The 26,079-nt window shown below is 48.5% G+C and overlaps 1 protein-coding gene across 9 annotated transcripts in view, besides 5 other annotated features; it reads left to right on the forward strand.

Annotated features, from left to right (window-relative positions):
• Positions 121–180: a silencer, noted in NCBI's record as "silent region_4531". NCBI's record gives its function as "represses an Ori minimal core promoter by ATAC-STARR-seq in GM12878 lymphoblastoid cells {active_cell/tissue: GM12878}" and the evidence as "EXISTENCE:reporter gene assay evidence [ECO:0000049][PMID:35858748]".
• PDE1B (phosphodiesterase 1B) overlaps positions 196–26,079 on the forward strand; it is a 29,639-nt gene continuing 3,755 nt past the window's right edge. The window contains exons 1-11 of one of the 9 annotated variants that reach the window (NM_001288768.2): positions 196–367; positions 455–580; positions 17,569–17,682; positions 19,717–19,961; positions 20,141–20,207; positions 20,836–20,952; positions 23,196–23,336; positions 23,743–23,843; positions 23,950–24,075; positions 24,203–24,304; positions 25,693–25,813. In NM_001288768.2, the coding sequence (NP_001275697.1) occupies positions 20,142–20,207; positions 20,836–20,952; positions 23,196–23,336; positions 23,743–23,843; positions 23,950–24,075; positions 24,203–24,304; positions 25,693–25,813 (774 nt within the window). In that variant the 5' untranslated portion in view covers positions 196–367; positions 455–580; positions 17,569–17,682; positions 19,717–19,961; position 20,141. Of the gene's footprint in view, positions 368–454; positions 581–674; positions 801–4,811; positions 4,973–12,059; positions 12,233–12,274; positions 12,984–13,872; positions 13,894–17,568; positions 17,683–19,716; positions 19,962–20,140; positions 20,208–20,835; positions 20,953–23,195; positions 23,337–23,742; positions 23,844–23,949; positions 24,076–24,202; positions 24,305–25,692; positions 25,814–26,079 lie in introns of those variants that run through there. The other 8 variants (NM_000924.4, XM_047428970.1, NM_001288769.2 and 5 more) reach the window with 8 other exon arrangements.
• Positions 746–1,374: an enhancer, noted in NCBI's record as "H3K4me1 hESC enhancer chr12:54943935-54944563 (GRCh37/hg19 assembly coordinates)". NCBI's record gives its function as "activates a minimal SCP1, AML or CMV promoter by ChIP-STARR-seq in naive H9 embryonic stem cells {active_cell/tissue: H9 hESC(naive)}" and the evidence as "EXISTENCE:reporter gene assay evidence [ECO:0000049][PMID:30033119]".
• Positions 14,670–15,361: an enhancer, noted in NCBI's record as "OCT4-NANOG-H3K27ac hESC enhancer chr12:54957859-54958550 (GRCh37/hg19 assembly coordinates)". NCBI's record gives its function as "activates a minimal SCP1, AML or CMV promoter by ChIP-STARR-seq in naive and primed H9 embryonic stem cells {active_cell/tissue: H9 hESC(naive and primed)}" and the evidence as "EXISTENCE:reporter gene assay evidence [ECO:0000049][PMID:30033119]".
• Positions 15,362–16,051: an enhancer, noted in NCBI's record as "OCT4-NANOG-H3K27ac hESC enhancer chr12:54958551-54959240 (GRCh37/hg19 assembly coordinates)". NCBI's record gives its function as "activates a minimal SCP1, AML or CMV promoter by ChIP-STARR-seq in naive and primed H9 embryonic stem cells {active_cell/tissue: H9 hESC(naive and primed)}" and the evidence as "EXISTENCE:reporter gene assay evidence [ECO:0000049][PMID:30033119]".
• Positions 22,160–22,454: a silencer, noted in NCBI's record as "tiled region #444; HepG2 Repressive non-DNase unmatched - State 22:ReprW". NCBI's record gives its function as "represses a minimal TATA promoter and a strong SV40 promoter by Sharpr-MPRA in HepG2 cells {active_cell/tissue: HepG2}" and the evidence as "EXISTENCE:reporter gene assay evidence [ECO:0000049][PMID:27701403]".

Genomic DNA, 26,079 nt, shown 5'->3' on the forward strand with positions numbered 1-26,079 from the left:
GCCTGTGTGCGTGCGCTCGCCCTTGGGCGCTTCTGTCTGTGTGTGCCCCCGGCTTCCAATCGTTCCTTTGGGAGGGGGAGGAGTGGCTGTGAGGAGTGAGAGACTGGCGGGCAGGCTGAGGAGAAGGGAGGGAGAGCAGAGGGAGGGGGGAACCCGGCCGGGGGAGGAGGAGAGAGGCGAGGAGGCGGCTCTGGCAGCGCGCGGCGGCGGCGGCGGTAGCGGCAGCAGCAGCGGCGGTGCGGAGAGCTTGGACTGGGAGCCCAAAGCTCGGCTGGGCAGCGGGAGAGGAGGAGCCGCAGGAGCTGCAGCTCTGCCAGCTTGGGCCGAGCCTAGAGACACCGGCCTGGCTGGTCCACGCCAGCCGCAGGTGGGAAGGGCCTGGGATGGGGGGTGAGGGTCTCTCGGCTGGGGCTGAAGCTGAGCCGAGGTGCTGTCTCCTCCTTCTGTTCCGTAGACCGTGGCTGAGCATGGAGCTGTCCCCCCGCAGTCCTCCGGAGATGCTGGAGGAGTCGGATTGCCCGTCACCCCTGGAGCTGAAGTCAGCCCCCAGCAAGAAGATGTGGATTAAGCTTCGGTCTCTGTAAGTCCCCGGCCCGGGAATGGGGGGAAGGGACCTTAGGGAGCCTGAGCGGGAGGAGGAGGGGGGATAACTGGAGCAGGGCTGTGGGCTGGTAGATTCTCTTTGGCACAGATGTTGGCAGGTGCGAGGAAGCACGGCCCTGACACGCGTGGCCAGGCCACATGTGCAAGGCATGTGCGGAGCAAGCTGGCCAGTTGGAGCGGGCTTAGGAGTTGCAAAGGTAACGATGTGCCTGTGCCTGTGGACCCCAGGCTGACACACGCAGCGCCTAGAGGCAGCACAGTATATGCAGTGTGGCAGGGCTGCAGGAGGGCAGTAGAGGTGCCAGGCTGACTCACACATATCCATGTGCAGAGTTGTGCAGATGTGAGCCACATGACATGTGTGTGCATGAGTGAGCGTGGGTCACAGAGGTATGTGGAGTGATTGCACACAGCTGTAGATCTACTGCATGGGAATACTTGTGCCAACCTGTGGGTCATATGTATCTCAGTTGGGATTGGTAGTTTCTGCCTCATGCACAGGAAGTGGGGTGGGGGTTACCCCATGCCTGAGCTGCTCATCTCTTGGGGCCTGGAAACTCACTCTATGTATTAATGATGAGGGGACCCACGTGGAATCTGGAGGGGGGGTTGGAGCCCCCACCTGGAAGCTGAAGGAGGTGATGATGGTGAAGAAATATTGATTGACAAAGGCAAGGTAACTGGCTTAATCAGAGGCTTTTTGTTTATATAGGGTCTTCCAGGATCTCCAAGCACATTTGGGCATCTTTTCCTATTGTTGCAGTACCAGGGCATGTGGGGAGGAATAAATGGGGGAAGGAAGAACTCAGGTATCTGATACTCCAGTCCCAGGGGAGGAAAGGAACTTTTCCCCTGCTCCTTAGAAAAAAAAGAGGATTGGGTCAAAGACAAGCCATGCACCATGTTTATCTCCCAGTCAGCTGCTGCCATTGGGAAATCTCCGCAGTCTGTTGATTCTTAATCAGGGAACAAGAGAAGATGTCCCTCTCTCCGAGATGAATCCATGGCCCCAGGAAAGAGGAAACAGATAGGAGACTATGGATGTTTAGAGAGGAAACACAGTAAACATAGCCCTGAACCCAGTTCCTCCTCAATGTTCTCCATAGTGAGCACCGAAGCTTTCTATTTCTGGGTTCTGGGAGAGGGAGAGATGGGGGTAGGGGATGGATAGATGCTTATGTTGTATTGTTCTTTAAATACTTCACCTATGGTGATAAGATGACACCTTTTTATGGCAGATGGGTCTGATTTATACACTAGCTACTTGGAGAGGCGTTAGGGAGAACTGAGGCATAGTGGGCAACAAGGCTTGGAATCCAAATGTACTTCTCAGTCCTCCTCCTTGGCTGCCTCTGGCCAATCCAATTTGCTGGGCTCTATGAAGCACAGCCTTGGAATGAGTTCTGGGATGAAGAAATGGAAAACCAGATTGAACTGATTTTTGTTGGGAGGAGCACTGTGTGATTCTTGATAGAAAATGACGCTGCGTTAATGGTAAATGAGCTGGGGAAAGGGGCAGATAAGGAAGTAGTTGAAAGGTAAAGAAGGGCCCCAGGTCCATAAATGGGAGAATTCAGGATGGCTCCCCTAACACTAGTGGCTCATCATACTTACCTTGCCTGTATTCCAGGTAACAGGGCCCTGCGAAAGAGTGGGTATTACTAGTTTCACTATCTCCCACACATTTCTAACCAAAAGCCTTTCCTGAAAATGAATTGTTGTTTCTTCCTTTAGTGTGAGAAGTGCTCAGTGGTGAGAGAAGAGGATTCCCAGAAGGAGGCATGAAACCTGGGAAGAGAAGGGAGTAGAGGCATCTGTCTCTCCAGAGTGCCTTAGCTGAGATGTCCTTACATGAGATTAGGGTGGACAAGGATCCCTATTCTTATTGATTAGATCATTCTGGTCTTCACTCACTTCAGCAGTCTGGTCCTTAAGAATGCTAGCTTTGTACAATAAATTTACAAGTAAAAAATAAAGCTAGCTACATGTAATATAACTTACCCAAAAAAGTACAATCTCCGGATTATTAATTGGCAGGAATAGATTCCCAGTCTTACGTCCTTAAAGCAGAGAAAGACCTTGAAATCAAGGTAGATCCCAACTTGATCTATGTTGATGGCCTACTGGATTTTGCCTTTTTGAATATTGGGGAGGCTTTGACTATCAGATGAAGGGAAATAAAAGGATTTAGGGCTTTGCTGGGTAAGAGGTGGGAGTTTCCCAACCCTCTCAATGGGATGGTTTCTGAATAGGTGAGAAAGGAGATGTTCCCCCTTTTAAGTGGAAATAAAGATCCCCCTGCCCCTTTGGTCAAGGTGGGAAGGGGTTGCTAAGTCTGGAAATAGGAAATAGACATGATTATCTTAGGACTGGGTACTGCTTGGAAATGGAAACATGGCATATATACTTGTATGTATTTATCTAACTATCTATCTAGATTCTTCTACTCAACACATCCTATTCCCCCCCTTCTACCCTTTTAATTTCTAATCAGGACATCCAGACTTTCTTCAGGGAGACTAGGCCTGGTGTTTTTGACTCTGGATAAAAAGCCCACACTAATATAATAGTGCAGGGCAATTTTTTGTTGGGAAGAGCATCCAAGAATTCTGTTTCCCACACTAAGACCCTGTCAAAAATAAATTCAGAATCTAATCTGTATCATATGAGCTGAAGAGAATCTCTTAACTGTGTGATTTTACCCCTATTTTCAGAACAATTTCTCTAATTAAGCAAACTCATAAACTGAGGCATGAGAGAGGGTGAAAGAGGCCATCTGGAGATGATGAGTTGGCCAGGATGATTTTCAGCATCTGTAACCCTAAGAGGAAGTATTTGACTTGGCTGTCCACCCTTCTCTGAGATCAGAGGGCTTTAGGGAATGGGAAGAAGACCAGAAGAGATAGAAATGATTTTCTGTGTCTTTTGTGATTCAAGAAAAACGATGAGCAGACATTGGTTTGCCATCCTCAGCTCATTTATTTATCCAACAACTATTTCTTGAGTGCCTTCTATGGACCAGGTGGCATGCTGGATGCTGAGAATACAGTCGGTGGTGGACAAAACAGACATAGTCCCTCTTCCTACAGAGCTTGTAACCTGCTTCAACTCCATCAAGTGGTGTAGAGAGGCAGGGGGCTCTGTATTCCCTGTTTTGCTACACCCACCCAAGTGATGAAATTCTACCACTCTGGGTTTCTGCCTCATTTTTTCTTTAGGGGGGTTATATACATAGGAAAAGCATAAATATGAGTTCTCTTTTTCCCAGGATGGTACAAACACCACTCTCTTTTCTCTGCTCCAGTTTCTCTTGGAATTTTACATTTTACAGATGGAACTTCCCCCTTCCTTTGGGACAGTATAGACATAGTCCCTTTCTCTTTTTCTTTCCCCACATGGTACGCACTCGGGACCCTCAAAGTCTAGGCTCAATGTTCTATGCTGTGGTTCAAGGTCATTATAGATGAGCTGGAGCAGGGACCCCACTGGGGATTATTTTTGCTTATCTTTGTTTCATCAGAGTCTAGTGTGATACCTTGAACATAACAGGCACTCAATAAATGCTGTTAAATAAAGGAATGAACAAATGAAATAGTGAATATATGTACATATGTTACGAGGTCCAGTTCTGTCTCTGGTTCTGTGGTGCGTGTATACCTCCGTGTTTGTTGAGTGGCGGGGGGAGGAGTAGGAAATGGAGGTGGAGGAAAGGGAGATGATGATGATGCTGTTTTTTTGAGAGGGTGATGCTTAAAAGATATGGGGTTTAGGGACCTCAGGACAGAGCCTGGAACTGAAGGAGTTACAGAGAGGATCCAGAAACTGTGGCGTTTGGATTGTGTGAATGAGATATGTTAGGATGAAATTGTGAATGCCTGCCTGACACGTATACATGTGTTTGGGTAAAGGTTGATATGTATGCTGGGGACAGAGCTCCATGAAGATGTGTCTGTTTTTATAAGTGGCATGTGTAATAATAAATATATTGGGAAGGTGTGCACTTACCTGAATACCTGAAATTGTCCTAGTTATGAGATGATGTATGTGTGTATGTAGGTAATGGGATAATACCTATGTGTGATCTTGTGTATGTATTTGTGACACTGAGATTTTTTGACATTCCTGGGGAGATCCAGTGGATGGGAGGAAGAAGCTGAGACTGGGTGCCTCATTGGTTTAACCCTGGCTTTTGCCCTCTTTTTGTATAGGCCCCATGGAGTGATCTTCTATGGTTCTTACCAGTTTTGAAAATCATGCTGCCATTCTCCTTTTTCTGTCTATGGATGTGGAGCTGCTGTGAAGATTGCAGCATAAACTATGGTTCCCTGGACCTCTGGAGAAAAAGGAGTGTCATTTTTCTCATGCCTTGGTGGGGACAGTTTTTTAGTGCTATCCTCAGCAGATTAGTCCTTCTTCCTCTGCTTCCAGCCATAGCAAAGGGAATCTCTTCTCCCTCGGTTTCATACCCCACTTTTCCATCAAATGTCTCCTGTCTCTATTTCCTCCATCAGCTTTGTCTTGAATGAGGACTGTGTGGTATCTCTGGGAAGGTAGAGGGTAGAAAATTCCTGCCTTAAGTTGAAGGGAAGGTGCAGAGGTAGGGGATCAAATTCAGCCCCAAGGAAGAACTTCACAAACCTCTGGTCAGGATAGGTGGCTGGAGGGAGGGAAGCAGGGAGGCAGAGTGGTGGTAGTGGAAGGGCATGGGGAATTTTGGGAGACTTGAGTTCGAGTTCACATTCTGCCCTAACAATTACAACGGTGTAATCTTTAAGTCACATAGTCTCTCTGAGTCTCAGTTCTTCATTTAATATCATCATGTAAAAGTAACTTTGAAATGATAAAGCCTGAAGGTCTTTTTCATCATGGGAGAGCTTGCTTTGTGAAGAGGCAGGGGAATGGGAATGGATGGGCAACTATTGGCTGGGATGAGGGAGACAAAGATTCAAGAGGTAGGAATATGAATTACCTAATAGGTTTGAGCCGTGATTGAAGGAGTCTTGTTGATGGTTATCTGGAAGGAGTGAAGGCATGTGTCTGAACTTAGAGACCAGAAGGATAGGTGGGACTAGAGGAGGGCAATATTATGAAGGATGTGGGCCACTGAGGTCAAAAGAAAGGAGAGGAACTTCCTCCTTATCATTTTTTCCCAATGGTCAAACTGGAAGTGGATGGAGCAATTGCAGTTCTGAGACATGGTGAGTGTGGGAAGCCCAGGGGCTGCCATAGGTGGGTTCTATGAACATTGGGGAATTCCCTTCGGACATTTATCCCAAGTCCCTAGGCCTGAGGGTATCATCAGTTATACCACATCCTATTTTAGAAAATCACTGAAGTCTCTTAGAATCCAAATATCACTCTGCTTGTCCAGGAGCCTCAGGAGGTGGTTTGAAAAAAGACAGAGGATTCCACATTTGAGGTTGCATTTGCCACCTTTGCCCAGAGGAAGGCGAAAGAGGTTGGGGATGCATGGGACTAGAAGGCCAGGTGAGATGCTCAGTAGGAAAGAAGCCTGCACATCTATATAACTACACCCTGCCAGGGAGTTCCTGAAATCAAAGGAATGGTAGCTTCCCTATCTCCCAGATTCCCCCAACCTTTAAATCTTTCTGCCACCTTCAGACTGGGATGGAGGAGCAGAAAACCTTGAAAACAGGTCTTCCCTCTCTTTTTGAGTCTTTAAAGGAATCCTTGAGAATTTGTGTCCAACTCCTCTGCTCTCTCTCATTTTCTCTTCTTTGATTCTTCCATCTTCTCCTTTGCCTCATCTTTCTCTGGGTTCTCTTTCGCTATGAGGCTCCCTTTTGCTCTTCTCCCTTGTCCCACTTCCTCTCTCTGTCCCATTCCTTTTGACTTACCCTTTCGCTCTTGCCATCAGTACTTCTCCTCCCTCATCTTGGCTAGGAGTCAGAAAATCCCCGTGGCTCCCTCCCCTCACTGAGGGGTTGCTGTGGTGATGGTACAGGATAAGCTTGCTATAGGTGCCCTCTGGGGCCTTAGGAGTCCAGCCCCGACTCCTGTCTTCTGCAAGGCGTGTCTTTTGCCTTCTCAGTGACCTCATCCTCCTAGTCCCTCTGGGGAGGAAGCCAAGTAATTGCCTTTGAATCTCAAGGGGCTGATTTTTCTCAGGTACGGAAGTTGAGTAGCTATTTTCCAACTCTCTTCAGGATAGCAGCAGAGAAAGAGGGACAAAACCAGGACAGCAGGTGGGGTGGAAGTGAGACAACTGGGGAGACTGGAAGTTGTTAGATAATGAAATTGTCCCCTAAGGCAGCAAGACTACATGGTCTGAGAGAACTGTGGGACCATTCCTCCGTTCCTTTGGGAAGGGGCATAGATGGGAATTGAGCAGGGAAAAAAGAGTGACTGAGAAGGGAAAAGGATAAAATCAACTTATTATCCATACAATGCAGGGAGGTCCTTAGTGCCCCTGCCCTTGCCCCTGTGCCCTAGTATCCCCCAGTCCTGCAACTGCTCCTTTTCCCTCAGCTGGGGTTGCATCTATGGAGCTTATCGCTGTCTGAGAAGAAAACACCAGGTCCAGATTCCACTTCAGCACTCAGACCTGGCAAAGGTGCACTGAGGGAGATGTGTTGGGGTTTTGGTAGAGAGGAAGGCTTGGTGGGAAAAGGGTCAGGTTGTTTTTGGGGTAAGGCCTGGGGGCATAGGGCATGGAGAAGAGCTAGAAAGGGGGTGCTTCAGGTGGTGCTGTTGGAAAGAGCCAGACTTCCAGGTCAGTTGATTCCACAGCTGCAGTGAGAAGTCAGATTTGCAAATAATTATGGTGGCTACAGTGGGGTGATTAGGCTGCCAGCTGGTGTTGGCACCATTTAGGTTGGGAAGGGAACTTGGCTGGTGGGGGGTTGAGGGCTGGGGGCTGGGGGCTGGGGGCTGGTTGTAGGGAGAGGCTGAGTGATTCTCTGGCAGGCAGGACCTGGGGAAAGTTTTTCCTTTTATTCCTATTTGTTGGCTTCCCTGCTCCCCTGTTTATCAACTCCTGCATATCTGCTTGGCACCATGTCCCTAGTTCTCTTCTCTGTGCCCACCTTGTTTGGAAACTTCTTGTGGCCTGGACTGAGTGAACACACAGGCCAACGGAATTGCCAAACTTCCTAAACCATGAGCATCTCTCTTCCAAGCAATTGCTTTAGAAATTCCAATCTGGAAGATGTATAATAAATCAAATTGCACTAGACACCTCAAAGACTTCTTGGTCCCTCCTATTCTCTCCCCTTCTGCTCTTCTTTGAAATGCCAAGAAAATTTGCTGTTGTTTTTTAAATTGCAGTGAAATAAATTGAAGACAGATATGCAGGAGAACTTCCTGGAAAGTTCCTGGAGGTTAGACTGTGGCCTTTCTCTGATAAAGAAAAAATCTACCCTTCTCCTCTAAGCACTGGGTTAGAGCTGATTTGGGGAAGCAGTGAGCCAGTCAGAAAGGATGAACTCTGGAACTGGGAAATTGAGGCCCAAGCATCCTACTTCCCCAGTGTCTCCAACCCAGTCCCTGAATCTGAGAACCATAAAGGCTACAGAGGAGGAACAGATCCCCAGAGATAGTTAGTAAAATCGGGGCAGTGCTGGGACCAGACCCAAATCCTGCTGATCCATAATCTGATGCTGCCCTCATCACACTTGCAGTCAGACTCTTGCTAAGCTTTTAATTTACTTTCCCATCCCAGACTACCTTCAACATCTGTTAGGCCCCATGGAAGCAGGGCATCTGCTGGGAACAGCTGTTAGGATGTAGTTTGGAGGGCTGGTGGGGTGGTCCATGTGGAGGTGGTTAATGAGCAAAATCAAATGGTGTAGGGAGGGAGAAGAGGGGTGGAGAAATGAACCAGAGAAAGAGTTCTTCTGGACTGGGTACTGGGAGCCTCCTCTTTAGTTTGCCTTCCTCTGACCTTCTCACCCACCCCTCCCAATTCCTCTCTCTCTCAAGGGCTGAAGTCTGATGGAAAGGTGACTCATTTGTGTTCTTGGCTGGGAGCTGGGACACCTGGGTTCTTATTGGTCTGGGCTGAGGCTCAAGCTGCTTAGATTATTCCCTTTCTCGTGTGATCTGAGTTGTGCTGGGCTGTTGCTAGGAACACCTGTTAGAAACGGCTTCTGGTCAGAAGGCACAGGCACAGGAGGAGTCTGAAAGCAGTCTCTCCCACTTCTTCAGTGTGTTCCCAGCTTCTCGAATGCAGCACCTTTCAAATCTCCTTTCCTTTCCTCCCTGCCCCCTTAATACCTCCTACCCCTTTTCCTCATCTCCCTTCACCCTCCTGGTTTCTGTCCTTCCCCCACTATCTTCCAATCTTCCCTAGGGCCTGCCCCATTCCCTTTCCTCATCCCACCCCCACCCGTAGCTCCTCTGTCCAGTGCTGAGGGCTCTCTCACCACTGCTGCCATGTCAACAGTGCCTCCCAGGATGGCAACCCAGCTTTGCCACTGGGGGGCTATTTTTATCTGTGGAGCCACCCCCGCCACAATGCCCAGCCAGCTGCCAGAACTGGGGCTTTCTGTATAGCAATGGAAGCCAGAAGCCAGGGGAGTGGGGGAGTGGGAATGCTCGGGTGAGGTGGAGAGCTGGTTGTTCTTGGTTTCTGGAGCTACATGCTCTACATACTCTGCAGCCTCTGCCTCCACTGCCTCCCCAGGGCCTCTGGAATAAGAAGCCAGAGAGAAGCCCTAAACGTCCAGAGTGGTGGCGTCAGGGAGACTAGAGCTTTCCCACCAATATCCAGGTGCCATCTGAGGCCTGGATGGAAAGTCAGGGGTCCTGGCTGTAAGAGTGGGCATATGGGACTTTGTTTATGAATGACTCAATGAATATTTGCTGAACTAACTAAAGATTTGGACTAAATAATTATCCTTCATATTCATGTATCACTTTAGGGTTCCCAAGGTGTTCTCATACCATATCTCATTAGGTCCTTGTGAAAATTCTGTGAAGCATGTATTATTTACCCATTTTACAGACCAGGAAACTGAAGCTCAGAGTGACTTTCCCAAGGTCACACATAGTAATAAAATCTAGGCAAAAGTTTGTGATTTCTTTTTAAATTTAGTTTTTTCTTTTCAACTGAGCTAGCCAGAAAAGTCTCCTGATTTTATAAACTTACGCCCTCTTTCTATTGGAATTAGATGATTTCCTTGGTTCTTTCAATTTCTGAGATTTTGGAGATTTGAAGTCAGCCAGTGAATCCCTTCCCGAGCACCCACCCCTTTACCCCCACCCACCCCCACCCCTTTACCCCCACCCACCCCCACCCCTTTTCTCTTACCAGAGGCAGAGTCTCCCATCCTTTGTTTCCTACCTCGACCTTATTCTTCACTGCAGGCTGGGCAGGCATTAGAGTTGGGTTCCTTTCTATTTTTAAACTACATTTAAGGGCTAAAGGAAAATCCATACTGGACCCTTTGTTGAGGTCATCACATTTATGTCCTGCCTGCCAGCCAGGTGACAGTCTCCTTAGAGGTAGAGTGTGGGGTGTGTGTATATGTGTGTGTAAGTGTCTATGTGTGAAATTTTTCCTCAGGAAGGGATGATGGTTGATCATTATCCCTCCTTATTAGGAAGAGTAAATAATAATAACAGGCTAGGGCAAAGTATGCAGCATGCATACCTGGGCTGAAGTGGTGAGCAGCCATTCGTCCAACCAGCTTTGGTTCTAATGGGTAAGAGAGGAGAGGAATGGACAAGATATCCTCTTCGAGGCTTTTCTAGTCTAAGAAATCTTTACTTTTCATTAGGAGAGTTGAGGTTAGCACTTACTTGGCTAGAGTGGCAGGGTCTGGAGTGAGGGTACAAGACGAGGCAGGGAAGTTGGCCTGGGTTGGAGGTTATTAGTGTTTCAGGCTGTGTGCTGCCATCTGCCCCCACTCTCAGCCCCATCCTGCAACGCAAGCATGTCCACAGAACATGCCAAATGACCTGTCCTCATCTCCTGGGTGGCATTCAGGGTCTCTGACACTGGGTCTAGTCCTTTCTCTCTAAAAACACTCATCAGCTTGTGGTCATTGTGGGGAGGGTGGTGGTGGGACACAGAAAGAGATGGATACAGAGAGAGTGGGTTTCTTCCCTCCCAAGATCTGCAGCAGCCCTGCTTCACGGCTACCAGGTGTTCACTAGAGAACAGCCTTAAGATATTTGACTTCCACTCCTCTTGTTGAGATCGAAGCCCACTTCCACTTGTCCCAGTACTCAGTGGAACTGAGAAACAGCAGGTTCCCAAACTTCATTTATTTCTGATTCTTCAAGGCTTTGGCATAATGACAAGGTATTTTCATTTCTTCCTGCTTTTGACGGGTTGGGGTAAAGGGAAAACTTCCTGTTATAAAATCCTAGCTCTTGGCCTGTGTCTTCTCTTTTCCCTTTCTGCTGACATACTCAACCCCATTAGTTCCTTTTCCTCTTTACCACATCACCCGCAGCCATAGACCTACATCTAAGAGATTGCAGATCCCTGAACTCTTTTCCCCAATGCGTTGGGCTTCACCCGCCAGCTCTTCTCCTTAGCCCCGCCCAACTCCTCAGCTGGCCAATCACGGCCCCAGCGTACATGTATTGGTGGCGACATCTCCCAGCCAATCAGGAGGCGGGCTGGGACTGTGTGCGCACGTCCACTTGGAGCTGCAGAGGCTGGGTTCTTCCCTCCCCAACCTTGGCGAAAGCAAAGTCTGAAGGCGGGAGAGGGGTTCCTGGTCCTCAGACCCCTTCTGGGTGCCTCTTTTGGCCCCTCCTGGGCCATCTCATCGCTTCTCCTTACCTCTGAGCCGATTGACCTCTCTCTGGTTAATTCATGGTTATTCCCCAATTTCCATTTTACAAATGAGAAAACTGGGGCTGGGGGTGTTAATTTGCCCAATCCCTTGGTTTCTATGAGCGAGTTCTCTTGACTTTCCTTCTCTGCTTGCGGGTGGAGGGCCCTTCCCTCCCTGTTGAGCCCGGTCTCTGGATAAGGATCCCCTGACACCTAGCTTCAGGAAGCCCCTCCCTACAGTTTTTTATCCTCTGTGGGAAGTTCATCCCCCTGTCTTGCTTCCATTCTGTGAGGTGGGTTAAAGCTCGTTTTGAAGAATGGCCCCAGAAAAAGACCCTGAAAGGGAGCTGAATCTGCTTAGCTCCTTTTGGGGGTTCTTGCAGGGCCCCTTCCCCTCCCGCTACAGACCTCCTCTCTGTGACAGATTCAGGATGGTTCCCTGTCCCTGCACTCTTAAGCCTCTTGCTAACCCCCTTTTTCCCAAAAGAGGAGCCCCACCTCCTCAGAGCAAGGGGCTGGCCTGTGCTATTTCTGTCCTTTCTGGGCTTCTTCTGAGAACAGATTCTTGTTTTCCGTCTGATTCAGATGTGAAACTTTTCCCGCAGCCTCCCCTCTCACCCAGTTCCGGTAGGCTGGGTCTCTGCCTCCCCACTCTCTTCTTCCTGCAGCCAGGCCCCTCCCCAAAGTTCTCTCTGGTCAGTTGCTCAGTTCTACTGGGACCTGGAGGAGGAAGGCAGGGGCCAAAGAGGAAGTTGTCCCCTCTTGGGGGCCCTGGGGCTCCTGGGGTCAGGATTTTGATACTCTGAAGCAGGAAACTTTGATTCCCATGGCAAACCCTGTTCCTGTTCAGAGGAGCCACCTCCAGGGCCCCATTCTCAGGTAGGTGCCAGGGATGAGAAGAGGAAGGGGGAGGAGGGAAAGGACAGGTTGCTCATGGATCCACCAGTTGTAGTTTAGTGAAGTGGAGAGATCAAGACCTGGCAGTCCCCCATATGTTTTGTGCGTGTGTGTGTGTGTGTGTGTGCGCGTGCCAACTTCACCTTTTACTCTGTCCATCTTGCCCTTTACCTTATTCTCCTCCCATTTCCATCCCCCCCCACCTTTGTAAAAATTGCTTCTTCTTGACTATGGTAGGTGACTTATCATTGTTTCTTCCTTTTCTCTCCTTCCTGACTGCCAACATCCTTAGGACCTCACATTCCTTCGAAATTTCATCTTGTCTTAAGAACCCAAACTGGAAATAGAATTCTTCTCTTGACTCCCATCCCCTATCTTATTCTAAAGTCCTTCAGAGTTAGAATCTCCCCAGACGCACTCAAAATCTTCACATCACTGTTCTTCTGCAGGAAGTCCTTCTCTGGCTTCCCTGTCCTAAGCCCCCTACTTATGGTGATCTTTTTGGGAATGTGGGTGCTGGAAGCGGAGGCAGGGGACTTTGGAAATCCCCAGAACACCAGCCATGGTGAGCCAAAGAAATGAACTGTAGAAGCTGGAGAAGCTGAGCTCTTCTGAGGTGTTGGGGTTATAACTGCCAGAGTCTTTTCCTCCCAATGGCTGCCTAGAGCTAGGAGAGACTGTGGACTTCCAGAAGTTGGGATCTGAGGCTTTTCCAATCGTGCAGGGACTGAAGGTAAAGCAGAAAGAAGTGGTGGTGGTGAAACGGGCAGGGATGGAGTTCGAAGGAAAGTTGGGGGAAGCTGCCAGTTTTCCTTGGGGCCAGATGTGGACTGGACGGGGTTGAGCATCCTGTTCTACAGGGAAAGGTACCTTTACTGTGCCAGATTCCTTGATGGCTGAAACAGAGGGTTTGGATTAAAACTGATGTTGGTGGGATAGAAGGACTTCCTGCAGAAGAACAGTGAGGTGAGGACTTTGAGTGGTCTGGGGAGATCCTAACTCTAAAGGACTTTAGAATAAGAGAGGGCCCTGGCAGGCCAGAAAGTATGGGGTGTGTGTGTGGAGTGGGTTATTTGACTTCAGGAGGTTGCAGTTCAGCACCTTCAAGAGGGTGCTTTCAGCTGCTTGAGTCCAGGTCCTCTTCTTAGACTTCCCATTTGTCAAATTTATTCTTTAATCTTTTTTCCCCTCCCTCCCTGCCTCCTTCTGGTGTCTGGATTGTGTTTGGTTCAGATTTCAACAGAAGCTATACAAGAGCTCCTGGACAAGATCTGTAAGTGACAGAAGGAGAAACTCGGAGGGAAACCTGTGCTTGAAGTCAACCTACAACCTTACTCTTCTCAGGCTCACTGTTATTTTTAGAAACCCTGGCTCAGAAATCTCCATTGTGAGCTCTGGGAGATAGCCTCACACCTGATTAATTTTCCCCTTTCCGTTTTATTTATTTAATGAACTTTTACTGAGCATGTTCTGTGTGCTCTGAGGATGGAGGCCAAGATAAACAAGCCACTGTCAGCGTCATCAAGACACTCACAGTCTCCTATGGGCCAACCGACAGAATTAATTAAGGTTGGACCGGCTGAGACTGCAGAAGCTATGGTGGAATGGGTTCCAGCCTCTCTCTAAGCTAACTGCATGATTAGGTTTGTTCTGCCTTAACAGCTTCATTGTTTGGGGACACGGTTAGGTTCCATTAGCTTGAGTTGTAGGCCTTGACAACCTGACTGAGATGGATGAGTTGTGTGACCTTAGACAAGTCACTTAACCTCCCTGATAAGGAGTTTGTGAAGATTAAATGAAGTTTGTAATTGTAAAGGAAAGATCATGGCTATTATCTTTCTCCCATTTCCTCTGTTAGGGAGCTTCCTAATTACCAGCCTCAATCCAAACCAACTCAGTCTTCTCCATCTGGACTTGGGAGAGAGAAGGTACTTGTATTTGAAGGGAGTGTGGTGTGAGCTGGGTTAGGACCACCATGATTTGATGTTGATCAGTCAATTCCTATTCAAATTACATTTTTGGAGACCTTTTGTATGTGCCAGGCCTTTTAATGTATTATATCACTTAATCCTCTTATTAATAGCCCTGTGAAATGTTTATTATCATCCTTACCACTTTATAGATGAACAAGTTGAGGCTCTAAGATAAACATTCTCAAAGTTTAGTGTATATTAGAATAATCTGGGGTGTTTTTTAAAAATGCAGATTGGGTTGCGAACTGTGGCTCACACCTGTAATGCTAACACTTTGGGAGGCCTCAAGCTGAGGATTGCTTAAGCCCAGGAGCTTGAGGTTACAGTGAGCTATGATCATGCCACTTCTAGATCTTGTCCAGGAGCTCTTGTATAGCTTCTGTTGAAATCTGTTGAACCAAACATGATCCAGACACCAGAAGGAGGTGGGGAGGGAGGGAAAGGAAGATTAAAGAATAAATATGACAAATGAGAAGTCTAAGAAGAGGATCTGGACTAAAGTGGCTGAAAGGATCCAGGTGCTGAACTGTACCCTCCTGAAGTCAAATAACACCCCCCACACCCATACTTTCTGGCCTGGCAGGACCTTCTCTTATTGTAAAGTCTTTTGGAGTTAAGACCTCCCCAGACCCACTCAAAGTCCTCACCTCACTGTTCTTCTGCAGGAAGTCCAGAGCTATGATCTGGGTGACCTTGTCTCTTAAAAAAAAAAAAAAAAGCAGGCCGGGTGCAGTGGCTCGTGTCTGTAATCCCAGCACTTTGGGAGGATGAGGTGGGAGGATCACTTGAGGCCAGAAGTTTGAGAACAACCTGGGCAACATAGCAGGACCTCATCTCTACAAAAAATAAAAAAAAATTAGCCGGGCATGGTAGCACATGCCTGTAGTCCTAGCTACTCAGGAGGCTGAGGCAGGAGGACTGATTAAGCCCAGCAGGTGGAGGCAGTTGTGCCAATGCACTCCAGCCTGGGTGACAAAGTGAGATCCTGTCTCAAAGTAAAAACAAAACAAACAAACAAAAAAAAACAAAAAAGCAGATCCCTGTCCAGCAGATCCCTGGACAGAAATACTGATTCAGCAGCTGTGGAATGAGACCTAGAATCTATATTTTTTACATGGATCCAAGGTGATTCTGATGCTGGTGGGCTACAGACCACATTTTAAAAAGCACCGATTAAGAGTTAGTGACTTGCTCAAAGGCTCACAGCAGGAAGTACTAGCTTTGAATCCAGGATTCCTGCCTCCCAGACTGGTGCTGCTGCTGGATACATCTCACCAAAGCTGCCTCCTGAGCCTTGGTTTCTGCATTGTAAATGGAAATGGCAATTCCTTCCCCGCCTCCCTTCTTCATAGGCCCATTGTGAGGATAAAATGAGATAATGTAGGAGAAAGCACTTTTAAAAATGTAGAACTGGCAGCATTGTTAGCGATTATGCAAATACATGCAAATGAGTGCCGTGGGTGTGGCTGCTCACTTTGGGAGCCAGTGCTGGGATGTGGGTTTCAAAAGGTGGGTCGAGAAGGGAACTGGAAGAACTTTGATGATGGGCATTGATCCCTGGGGAAAGTTTTGTAAAAAGGGCCGAATGAAGCAGAAGGCTGGGGTGGGAATCTGGGGGAGAGAGAGAACTATAGGCAGAAGAAGAGGCCTTCTTTCCTTTTTGGGTTTTATGTCACCAGATTTGAGGGTCCCTGGCTATGGGGACTGATCGGCAGAGGGAAGCCCCAGCTTGTGCCTGGGCACCAAAGGCAAAGCGTACCTCTTTGTTCTGTGATCTCTGGGCGGGGTACTCTGGGAGACACTGGCTCATAGCCCCTTTCCAGCTCATTTAGCTGGGAAAGCCTTTTATGATATATCTCGCCTCTATTCCTCCTCCCTAATGAAGCTGGAGCTGGGGCTGAGCTTTACTAAAATCATCCTCTTACTTGTTAAACAACCTGCTGTTTCCACATGGAGATGGTGCAGCAGGAAGGCTGAAAGTGAGATTTGAGGATAGCCAACCAAGGAGGCTGCAGTGCCGTCCTCCAACTTCTTTGCCACTTTCCCTTCTGTCCCATTTGCTCTCAGACGTGTCATCCAGGATTGCTAGGCCCTGAGGTGAGAACTGGCCTGTGATGCTTCCTGGGGCTGGCTATTTTGGGCACCCCATTCCAAAGCTGCCGAGACCCCGGGATTCTAGAGCTACTTCTGTTCAGGAACGCCATTGTTCTCCCTCCCCCGGCATCCCTGGGAATTGATGCTAATTTCAGCCTCTGATCCCTGACTCATTCTCTTCTCCTCCCTGACTCATAGGGTGACCTTGGGTTTTTGAAGCCCCTCTCAGTGGGGAATTATGATGGCCACCATTTCAGCCCCAGATTGGTTTTAGGTGGGTGGGGCAGGGTGAGGGAAAGGAGAGAAAGGAATATTTAACTGCTTTCATTAAAATCACCATCTGAAGAGCTTTGTTTGCTTTGTGACTGCCTGGGCTGAACTCACCAGGCTTCTAAGAAGTCTCCCAGTTAATCAACAAACCCCAGAATTCATAAGTGTAAAACATGAGGTGATTGTTCCTTCAGGCAAAACATCCAGTGAATGAGATCCCTGGGCCCACCCCACCACTTTTATCCTGGAAGAAGCTTCAGTGGGGACAGAGGCAGGGGATGGGTACAGTAACTCTGTCAGAGGTTCTCTCTGGTGTAAGACTGGAAAGGCAGGGGTTAACCCGGCTTTGTCCTGGTTGATGGATTCTGGAATCATAATCCATTAGCTTTGCCTGCATGGAGAGAGGCCAGGCGAAAGCATTCAGATTTGTCTTTGTTCTGTGCTTTTGCCATGCCTGCCAGGCACAGAGGGGCTGTGGACACGTAACCCCCACCCCCCACACCATGACCAAGAGACAATGAAATACTCTTGGGGGCTATCTTGATTGCTATTGATCCCAAAGCCCTCTCCCATGGGGGAAATAAGCAGTTTCAGCTCTTGGTTATTCAGGCTATGAAACAGATCATCCTAAAAACATCACTCCAGGGGCTTGTACCTGCCTAATTCTGCTGGGCCCTGGCATTTTAAACAAGACTAAGCACTGACTAAAGAGCGGGTTTCGAGAAGTCAGATGGTGGTGGGGATGGTGGAGTCAGGAAAACCTGGCATTAAACTTTGGGTGTAGATAAACTTAATACAGGCAGTGGCAATAGCCTGAGATTAAAAAAGAAACATTAGCTGCTATTATTATTAATGTTAGAATGATTAACTATTTACAAAAGACTGAGGATGTTTCTGTAAAATGTACCTTATTAGGGAGTATGCTGTTCTCATGATAAGGTAGCTGTGCCTAAGCAGCCTCTCTGTATCTGCTCCCTGCAGGCTGCGCTACATGGTGAAGCAGTTGGAGAATGGGGAGATAAACATTGAGGAGCTGAAGAAAAATCTGGAGTACACAGCTTCTCTGCTGGAAGCCGTCTACATAGATGAGACACGGTGAGAGAGACCGACAGACAGAGAAGGAGAAAGATGTCAGACATAGTGTTCCAGAGAGAGGGGTTAAGACAAAGATAGACACATGTGGCATGGACAGAGACCGGAAGAAAGAGAGAGGGTGGACCAGATATAAAGAGCTCTAGGTAGTGGCTCACACCTGTAATCCTAGCACTTTGGAGGCCAAGATGGGTGGATTCTTTGAACCCAGGAGTTTGAGACCAGCCTGGGCAACATGGCAAGACCCTGTCTCTACAAAAAAAAAAAAATTAGCCAGGCATGGTGGCATGCTCCTGTAGTTCTAGCTACTCGGGAGGCTGAGGTGGAAGGATGGCTTGAGCCCAGGAGGCAGAGGTTGCAGTGAGCTGAGATTGCGCTGCTGCACTCCAGCCTGGTGTGACAGAGCAAGACCCTGTCTCAAAATAAATAAATAAATAAATAAATAAAAAAAATAAAAAAAGAGCTCCAGGTATCCAGGGAGAAATAGTGGTAAGAGATAAAGAAGCAGAGGCAGACATAGAGATGCAGAGATAGAGACAAACACAGATATCAAGAAGGACAGAAGACTGCTTCAGAGTTGGAAGGGACCTTAAAGCTCATCTATTCCACTGTGGAATACCTCTAGATGTGTGCTGCCCAACATGGGAGCCACCATTCTGGGTGGCTATTGAGCACCTCAAATGTGGCAAGTATGAACTGAGATGTGTACATAAAATACATGATGGATTTCAAAGACTTAGAAAAAAGAATGTAAGATATTCATATATATATATATATATTTTTTTGTTTTGAGACAGAGTTTACTCTTGTTGCCCAGGCTGAAGGGCAATGGTGTGATCTTGGCTCACTGCAACCTCTGCCTCTGGGGTTCAAGCAATTCTTCTGCCTCAGCCTCCTGAGTAGCTGGATTACAGGCATGTGCCACTACGCCCAGCTAATTTTTGTATTTTTAGTAGAGATGGGGTTTCTCCATGTTGGTCAGGCTGGTCTCGAACTCCTGACCTCAGGTGATCTGCCTGCCTTGGCCTCCCAAAGTCCTGGGGATTACAGGCGTGAGCTACCGCGCCCAGCCGATATCTCATTAATATATTTTATAAGGCTGGGCGTGATGGTTCATGCCTGTAATCCCAGCACTTTGGGAAGTTGAGGCAGCCTGATTGCTTGAGCCCAGGAATTCGAGACCAGCCTGGGCAACATGATGAAACCCTGTCTCTACAAAAAATAAGAATTAGCTGGGCATGGTGATGTGCATCTGTAGTCCCAGCTACTTGGGAGGCTGAGGGGGGAGGATCACCTGAATCTGGGGAGGTTGAGGTTGCAGTGAGCTGTGATCACACCACTGCACTCCAGTCTGGGCGATAAAGTGAGACCCTGTCTAAAAATACACACACACACACACACACACACACACACACACACACACACACGGTTTCATGTTGAAATGATATTTTGGAGGTATTAGGTAAAATAAAATTTATTGCCGGGCACGGTGGCTCACGCCTATAATCCCAGCACTTTGGGAGGCTGAGGCGGATGGATCAACTGAGGTCAGGAATTCAAGACCAGCCTGGCGTGGTGGTAGGCACCTGTAATCCCAGCTACTCAGGAGGCTGAGGCAGGAGAATCGCTCGAACCCGGGAGGCGGAGGTTGCAGTGAGCCAAGATCGCGCCATTGCACTCCAGCCTGGGCAACGGAGTGAGACTCCATCTCAAAAAAAAAATTATCATTAAAGTCAATTTCACCTATTTCTCTTTTCCTTTTTAACGTGGCCTACTAGACAATTTAAAATTTCATATATGCGGCTTGCATTTTATTTCTATTGGATGGTGCTGCTCTATAGCATCCCTGAAAGATGCGTTCCATTTCCTGCTTAAACACTTCCATAGTTGGGATGCTCACTACCTCACATGGAGACCTGTTTCATTATTGGAGATGTTAGATAAAGAAATAAAAAGATATAGAGAAAGAAAGGAAACAGGGTTGAAGACAGAGAGCTGGCATGAGAGTTACTAAATGTGGGGTATGGCTGGGTACAGGGTCTCTAGGCTGTGGAAGCACCTGCTGTCTTTCCTCTGTGACTCCCCTTCTGGGGTCTCAGGCAAATCTTGGACACGGAGGACGAGCTGCAGGAGCTGCGGTCAGATGCCGTGCCTTCGGAGGTGCGGGACTGGCTGGCCTCCACCTTCACCCAGCAGGCCCGGGCCAAAGGCCGCCGAGCAGAGGAGAAGCCCAAGTTCCGAAGCATTGTGCACGCTGTGCAGGCTGGGATCTTCGTGGAACGGTGAGGCTCGCCCACACTCAGCCTCCCTCTGCCTTTAGCTGTGCCCCTCTTTCCCAGCCACCCTGGTCTTCCATGACCACCAGCCATATGATCCCATGGCTCATCCCCACATCCCCAGCTGGCCACACCTCCACTCCCAGACCTTCATATGTGGGCTTCTTCTCATTGTTCTCTCTCAGGATGTTCCGGAGAACATACACCTCTGTGGGCCCCACTTACTCTACTGCGGTTCTCAACTGTCTCAAGGTAATCTCTGGGTTTTTGGGAAAGAGGAGAAAGTTAGGGGATGGAATAGCCACTGGGACTTCTAGACCCTGTTTATGGCATTATTTTTGCCTTCCTTTTTTTTTTTTGAAATGGAGTCTCGCTCTTGTCACTCAGGCTGGAGTGCAGTGGCGTGATCTCGTCTCACTGCAACCTCTGCCTCCCTGCAAGCGATTCTCCTGCCTCAGCCTCCTGAGTAGCTGGGATTACAGGTGCCCACCACCATGCCCAGCTAATTTTTGTAGTTTTAGTAGAGATGGGGTTTCACCATGTTGGCCAGGCTGGTCTCGAACTCTTGACCTCAAGTGTTCTGCCCACCTCGGTCTCCCAAAGTATTGGGATTACAGACGTGAGCCACTGCGCCCGGCCTGCCTTCCCTTTTAACTGTTGTTCCCACATTTATCAAAACTGCTTTTGCCCAGTATAGGAGCAAACTCCTGCCTTCCTGTCTCTCCCATACTGAGAGATATATGGGAAGAAAGAGGCACACTTTACCATTTCTTTGCTTTCCTATTTACCAAGACTTTGTACTCATGGGAAGTCCTTCTTGAAGTCTAACTTCAACCCTTGCTGCTGCTGGAAAGCCACATAATCTATTGTTTCTCCATAGAACCTGGATCTCTGGTGCTTTGATGTCTTTTCCTTGAACCAGGCAGCAGATGACCATGCCCTGAGGACCATTGTTTTTGAGTTGCTGACTCGGCATAACCTCATCAGCCGCTTCAAGGTTGGGCAGCATCCTACCTCTACCTCCAGGCAGGATTCTCCACTCCTCTCATGCCTGTTCTAAAAGCCTCCCAACAAACAGATTCCATAGATCCCCTCACTCAGTCTCAACATCAGGGAAGTCTCCCCATGCCCACGCCCAGCCTAGCCTTTCTTTCACTTGCTGCAGTCTTAGTTCCAGACTTCATTAATTGATTTCTAGGGGGAGATTCTCGGTCTGCAACCATCTAGCCTGGGATTCTGCTCTCTCCCGCTTTGCTTTTTTCCCCCAACTTGTCCTCTCTAGGCTGACTTGCAGTGTGGACACTGGAGGCCTGGAGTTCAGATGCTGTCAGCCAGTGCCCTTTGGGACTAGAAACCATGTTTCCTGGATAAAATTGGCCACTCCCTCCCCCGTCCCCCAGTTCTGGTCTCTGTGCAAGGAATTATATAGAGAAGGTCAGCTCTTGACAGGGCTCGGGGCGGGGGCTTGTATGACAGGGGGACGGTGTGTGAACTTCATTTGCTCTTCAGCTTGTCTGGATGGGAAGAATTATATGAGATTAAGTCCTTCCTAGATCCTGTACCAGGAGGGAGCATCTTTTGGGAGGGAAAAAGTGCCAGGAAAAAAACAAAACACTTTCACATGGACAAATCACATTTGGAAGTAGAGGGTGAGGGAGGTTGAAGAGCCGTAATGGGGATATTGGGTCAGCACTTTGGGGAGCAGTAGATGTTAAAGGTGAAGGGAAACGTGGATGATCTGAAGGGCCATAGAGAGGGGCGGTCAAAGGAGTCCAGGTGGAGGGTCCCCTCCCAGGCCGGCTTCGGGAGGTCATTCCATCCATCCTCTGCCTCCACTTCACTAGAACAAATTATCTGTGCATGTAAGCCCTTCCTTCACCCTTGACTCCTCCTTTTACAACAACTCCCTAGGGAGTTTCCAAAACTTTCCTGAGATGCTCAGCTGAAATTTTCTTAAGTGCCTTCCGGAAGCCTGTTCTGCAATTTTACTTTCTTCTTTCCAATCCTGCCCTCTCCAGGACAGAGAATAGTAGGGCTCTCTTTTTCCTAAGACTTTTCCCAGCTCATGTTTCCCCAAACTGGCTCTCAGACTTCAGTCACTAGATTCTCCTAAACTCTGCCTCCTTACCTGGAAGGACTGGGTCTGGGGGACCTCAAGAGTAGCTGTTTTGGGTTAGGTTTGGCCCAGTCCCAGTCTGCTTTGCTCCAAGGCAGTTAGAGGAAGGAGGGGGTGCTTCTTGTTTTAGTTTTCTCTGATGATAGGGCCAGCAGCAGCTGCCCTTCTCAAACTCCACATTCTTTTCCTGGGCACCTAGCCCCTCCCCTACTCCTCCCTTTTTCTTCCCTTCCCTCCAGGGACGCCATGGCAACGCAAAAGCAAGGGCAGTTGTCATGGAAACAGTCCTTTAAAATTTCCTGAATTTGGGGCACAGCCCTCCAGGGGTGCGGGTGGGGGATGTTAGGGTCTGACTGACTAGTGGTGCTTCTTCTGTGTCTCTGTCACTATATTGCTCATCTCTACAGAAACCTCCCGAGTCCTGAACCTTCGTCCCCTCCTAGCCTCAAGAGATTCAGGGACAGATCACCAGTCCTGTCCTCTGGGAGCCTTGAGCCTTTTGAAGGAGGCAGACATACCCTAAGGGCGTACACAGAGACAGGGCCCGGATTCAGAGTAGCTGGACAGAGCTCTGGCTGCTGGTGCTTTTGTGTGTGTTCTGTGGGACTGAGGGCGCGGGTACTGGTGCATGTAGAGGGTAAGTGGTCAGGGAGGGCAACCCACATCTGGCTGGAAGAGTCCTCTCTAGGTCATCTTCTTCATTCCCTTACTTCCGAGCCCTTCTTCATGGTTTTGGATGTGGGGATGGAGTGGGATGTTTGGAAGGTAGGAGGGAAGCTTTCTTTCATTTTCTTTGAAATCTCCAGGGAAATAATAATAATTATAGCTATTCTTTAGAGAGCATTTACTAAATGCCTTGTACTTATCTCATTAATTTCCAGGTAGGTGGTATTATCTTTCATTCTGCAATTAAGTATCTGAGGCACAGAGAGGCATGTGACTTACCCAAGGTTGCACAGCCAGCAGGTGGTAGAGGCAGGATATGAGCCAGGTTCACCTAACTAGGTTCTGTGCTCTCTCCCTATGCCACACTGCCTTCTAAAGAAAGTTGTTGATCTCGGTCCGTAATCACCACCATTCCTGTGGATCCTTGATATATCTCCATTTCCCCTAACTCCCCGCAGATTCCCACTGTGTTTTTGATGAGTTTCCTGGATGCCTTGGAGACAGGCTATGGGAAGTACAAGAATCCTTACCACAACCAGATCCACGCAGCCGATGTTACCCAGACAGTCCATTGCTTCTTGCTCCGCACAGGGATGGTGGTAGGTGCCCTGGAGATGATTCTTCTGTGATTCAGGGCCTATGGCTACAGAACTGGGAGGTCTAGACTGTACTCCCATTTCCATTTCTCCTCGTTGGTTCTTCTTGGGCACTCCAAAGCCTTGACAGAGCCAAACTGGATTAACTCACTCTAGAGAATTCCCAGGTAGACTAAAACTCGTTGGACAGTGCTAGGGACATGTGCTGGGATGCAGTGGGAGTGTTGCAGGTTCGGATGGAGGAAGGTCCTTGGCCATTTCAGGAGCTGAGAAACCTGGCTGCATTAACCAAGAGCTGGCCTGGAAGCATGGAAGGGATGGGATGAGTGATCTAGCCTGTGTGTGGAGGTTCCTGGGAAGTGACCAGCAGGCGTCACCCCTCTCTCATTCTTTCTCTTTCCTCCTGTAGCACTGCCTGTCGGAGATTGAGCTCCTGGCCATCATCTTTGCTGCAGCTATCCATGATTATGAGCACACGGGCACTACCAACAGCTTCCACATCCAGACCAAGTGAGGGGTGGGGATGTGGCAGGGGCAGGAGGGGCCAAGAGGAGGTGGGGAGGTTGCCGGAGTCCCTCCTTACAGGGGGTGGTCATGATGACCTTTGGCTTTGTAGGTCAGAATGTGCCATCGTGTACAATGATCGTTCAGTGCTGGAGAATCACCACATCAGCTCTGTTTTCCGATTGATGCAGGATGATGAGATGAACATTTTCATCAACCTCACCAAGGATGAGTTTGTGTGAGCAGAAGCCAGTACTTGGCATCCCTAAGAGACTCCCTTACCACAAACTCCATTTTCCACTTCCTGGACCTCCTGCCCAGCAGCGCTGAGGGGACTGATTGCTTCTCTTTTTATGTCCGCTCAGAGAACTCCGAGCCCTGGTCATTGAGATGGTGTTGGCCACAGACATGTCCTGCCATTTCCAGCAAGTGAAGACCATGAAGACAGCCTTGCAACAGCTGGAGAGGTGGCATCTGGTGGGGTGTGGCTGGGGCCAGGCCAGAGGGAGGGGTGTGTGAACTGGGGGGGTATACACAAGGGTAGTTGGTGTGCCAGGTCTTTACCTCGCTGTAGAGACTCCACTGGCTTCAGGTATCAGACTGCATCTCTATGTGAGAGAGAGAGAGAGTGTGTGTGTGTGTGTGTGTGTGTGTGTGTGTGTGTGTGTGTCCTTACGTTTACTCACAGCCTTGGCAGCTGATCCACTGGAGAGTGCTTTGGGCTGGGAATCTAAGATGGGGGTTCTCATCGTAGCTCTGGGACAGGCTTACTCTGGAATGTTGGAAAATTCATTCAACCCTTCTGCCCCAGTTTTATTACCTCTGAAATGGTGAAAATGATACGCCTCCCCCCACAACAGCTTGCCCCTAGTTCCTAGTCTCATAGGGCTATTGGGAGAGTCATACGAGGTTTAAAAAAATGCATAGAACAAATGCCATAATTACATCTAATGTTGCTTAGAAGTGAGTGGGAATGTATAAATGTGTGTGAGAGTGGACTGTGTGTGTGTGTGTCCTGAAGGTGTGTGTTAATCTCTGTGTAAGGTGTTTATGTGTGGGATGCAGTGTCACAGCGGGTCATTGTTGAGGGTATAATAATAATTATTACTATTCTAGATAATATCTACTGAGCACTTATTATGTGCTAGACACTCTCCTGAATACTTATTTGTTGTTTGTCACTTAATTCTCAGAACCACTCGATATGTGGTAGGGTTGTTATTTCCATTTTAGAGTTGAAGAAAATGAAATATGGAAATTTTAAGTAACTTGCTCAGTGTCACGCGGCTAACATGTGGTAGGTATAGACGTGAACCCAGGCCCTTTGATTCTAAGAGCCTGGGCTCTCAGCTACTAACCCGTGCTGCTACCTAAACATATATAAGTGTGTGTGTGTCTGTGTGTGGGGTGTGTGTGTAGCTTTGGAGGGTGTTTGAAGTTATGTGAGGCCGGGCGTGGTGGCTCATGCCTATAATTCCAGCACTTTGGGAGGCCGAGGCAGGTGGATAGCTTGAGGTCAGGAATTTGAGACCAGCCTGGCCAACACGGTGAAACACTGTCTCTACCAAAAAAATACAAAAATTAGCTGGGTGTGGTGGCATGCACGCCTGTAGTCCCAGCTATTCGGGAGGCTGAGGTGGGAGAATCACTTGAACCCAGGTGACAGAGGTTGCAGTGAGCTGAGATTGTGCCACTGCACTCCAGCCCGGGCAACAGAGTGAGACCCTGTCTCAAAAAAAAAAAAAAAAAAAGGAAGAAGTTATGTGATAGGGTGTGCGTGGGAAGTTAGGGAATGGTCCTAACTTCCTTTTCCTAAAAGATCAGTCTCCCTTCCCTTGCCATCTGCCCCAACCAGGATTGACAAGCCCAAGGCCCTGTCTCTACTGCTCCATGCTGCTGACATCAGCCACCCAACCAAGCAGTGGTTGGTCCACAGCCGTTGGACCAAGGCCCTCATGGAGGAATTCTTCCGTCAGGTAGCGTGGCATCTTTGCCTTCCCTGTGCCTATGGGGGCCTTCTCTCCCCTTTTGCCCTCCAAGTTCCCCAATCCTGTTCCACATCCTCCTTTTGCTACCTGTAGTCTCTGACCTGATCCCAAATCCTTGGGGTAAAACCCCATTATCCTAAAAGCCTAACAATAGTTGCATTTCATTTGCATATATTTCATTTGCATATTACTAATTTCCAGGTCAACAGTGCAGAAATTTCACACAACAACCCCCCACCCCCACCACTTGCCAC

This window comes from Homo sapiens, chromosome 12, assembly GCF_000001405.40.
Source record: "Homo sapiens chromosome 12, GRCh38.p14 Primary Assembly".
Lineage (NCBI taxonomy): Eukaryota > Metazoa > Chordata > Mammalia > Primates > Hominidae > Homo > Homo sapiens.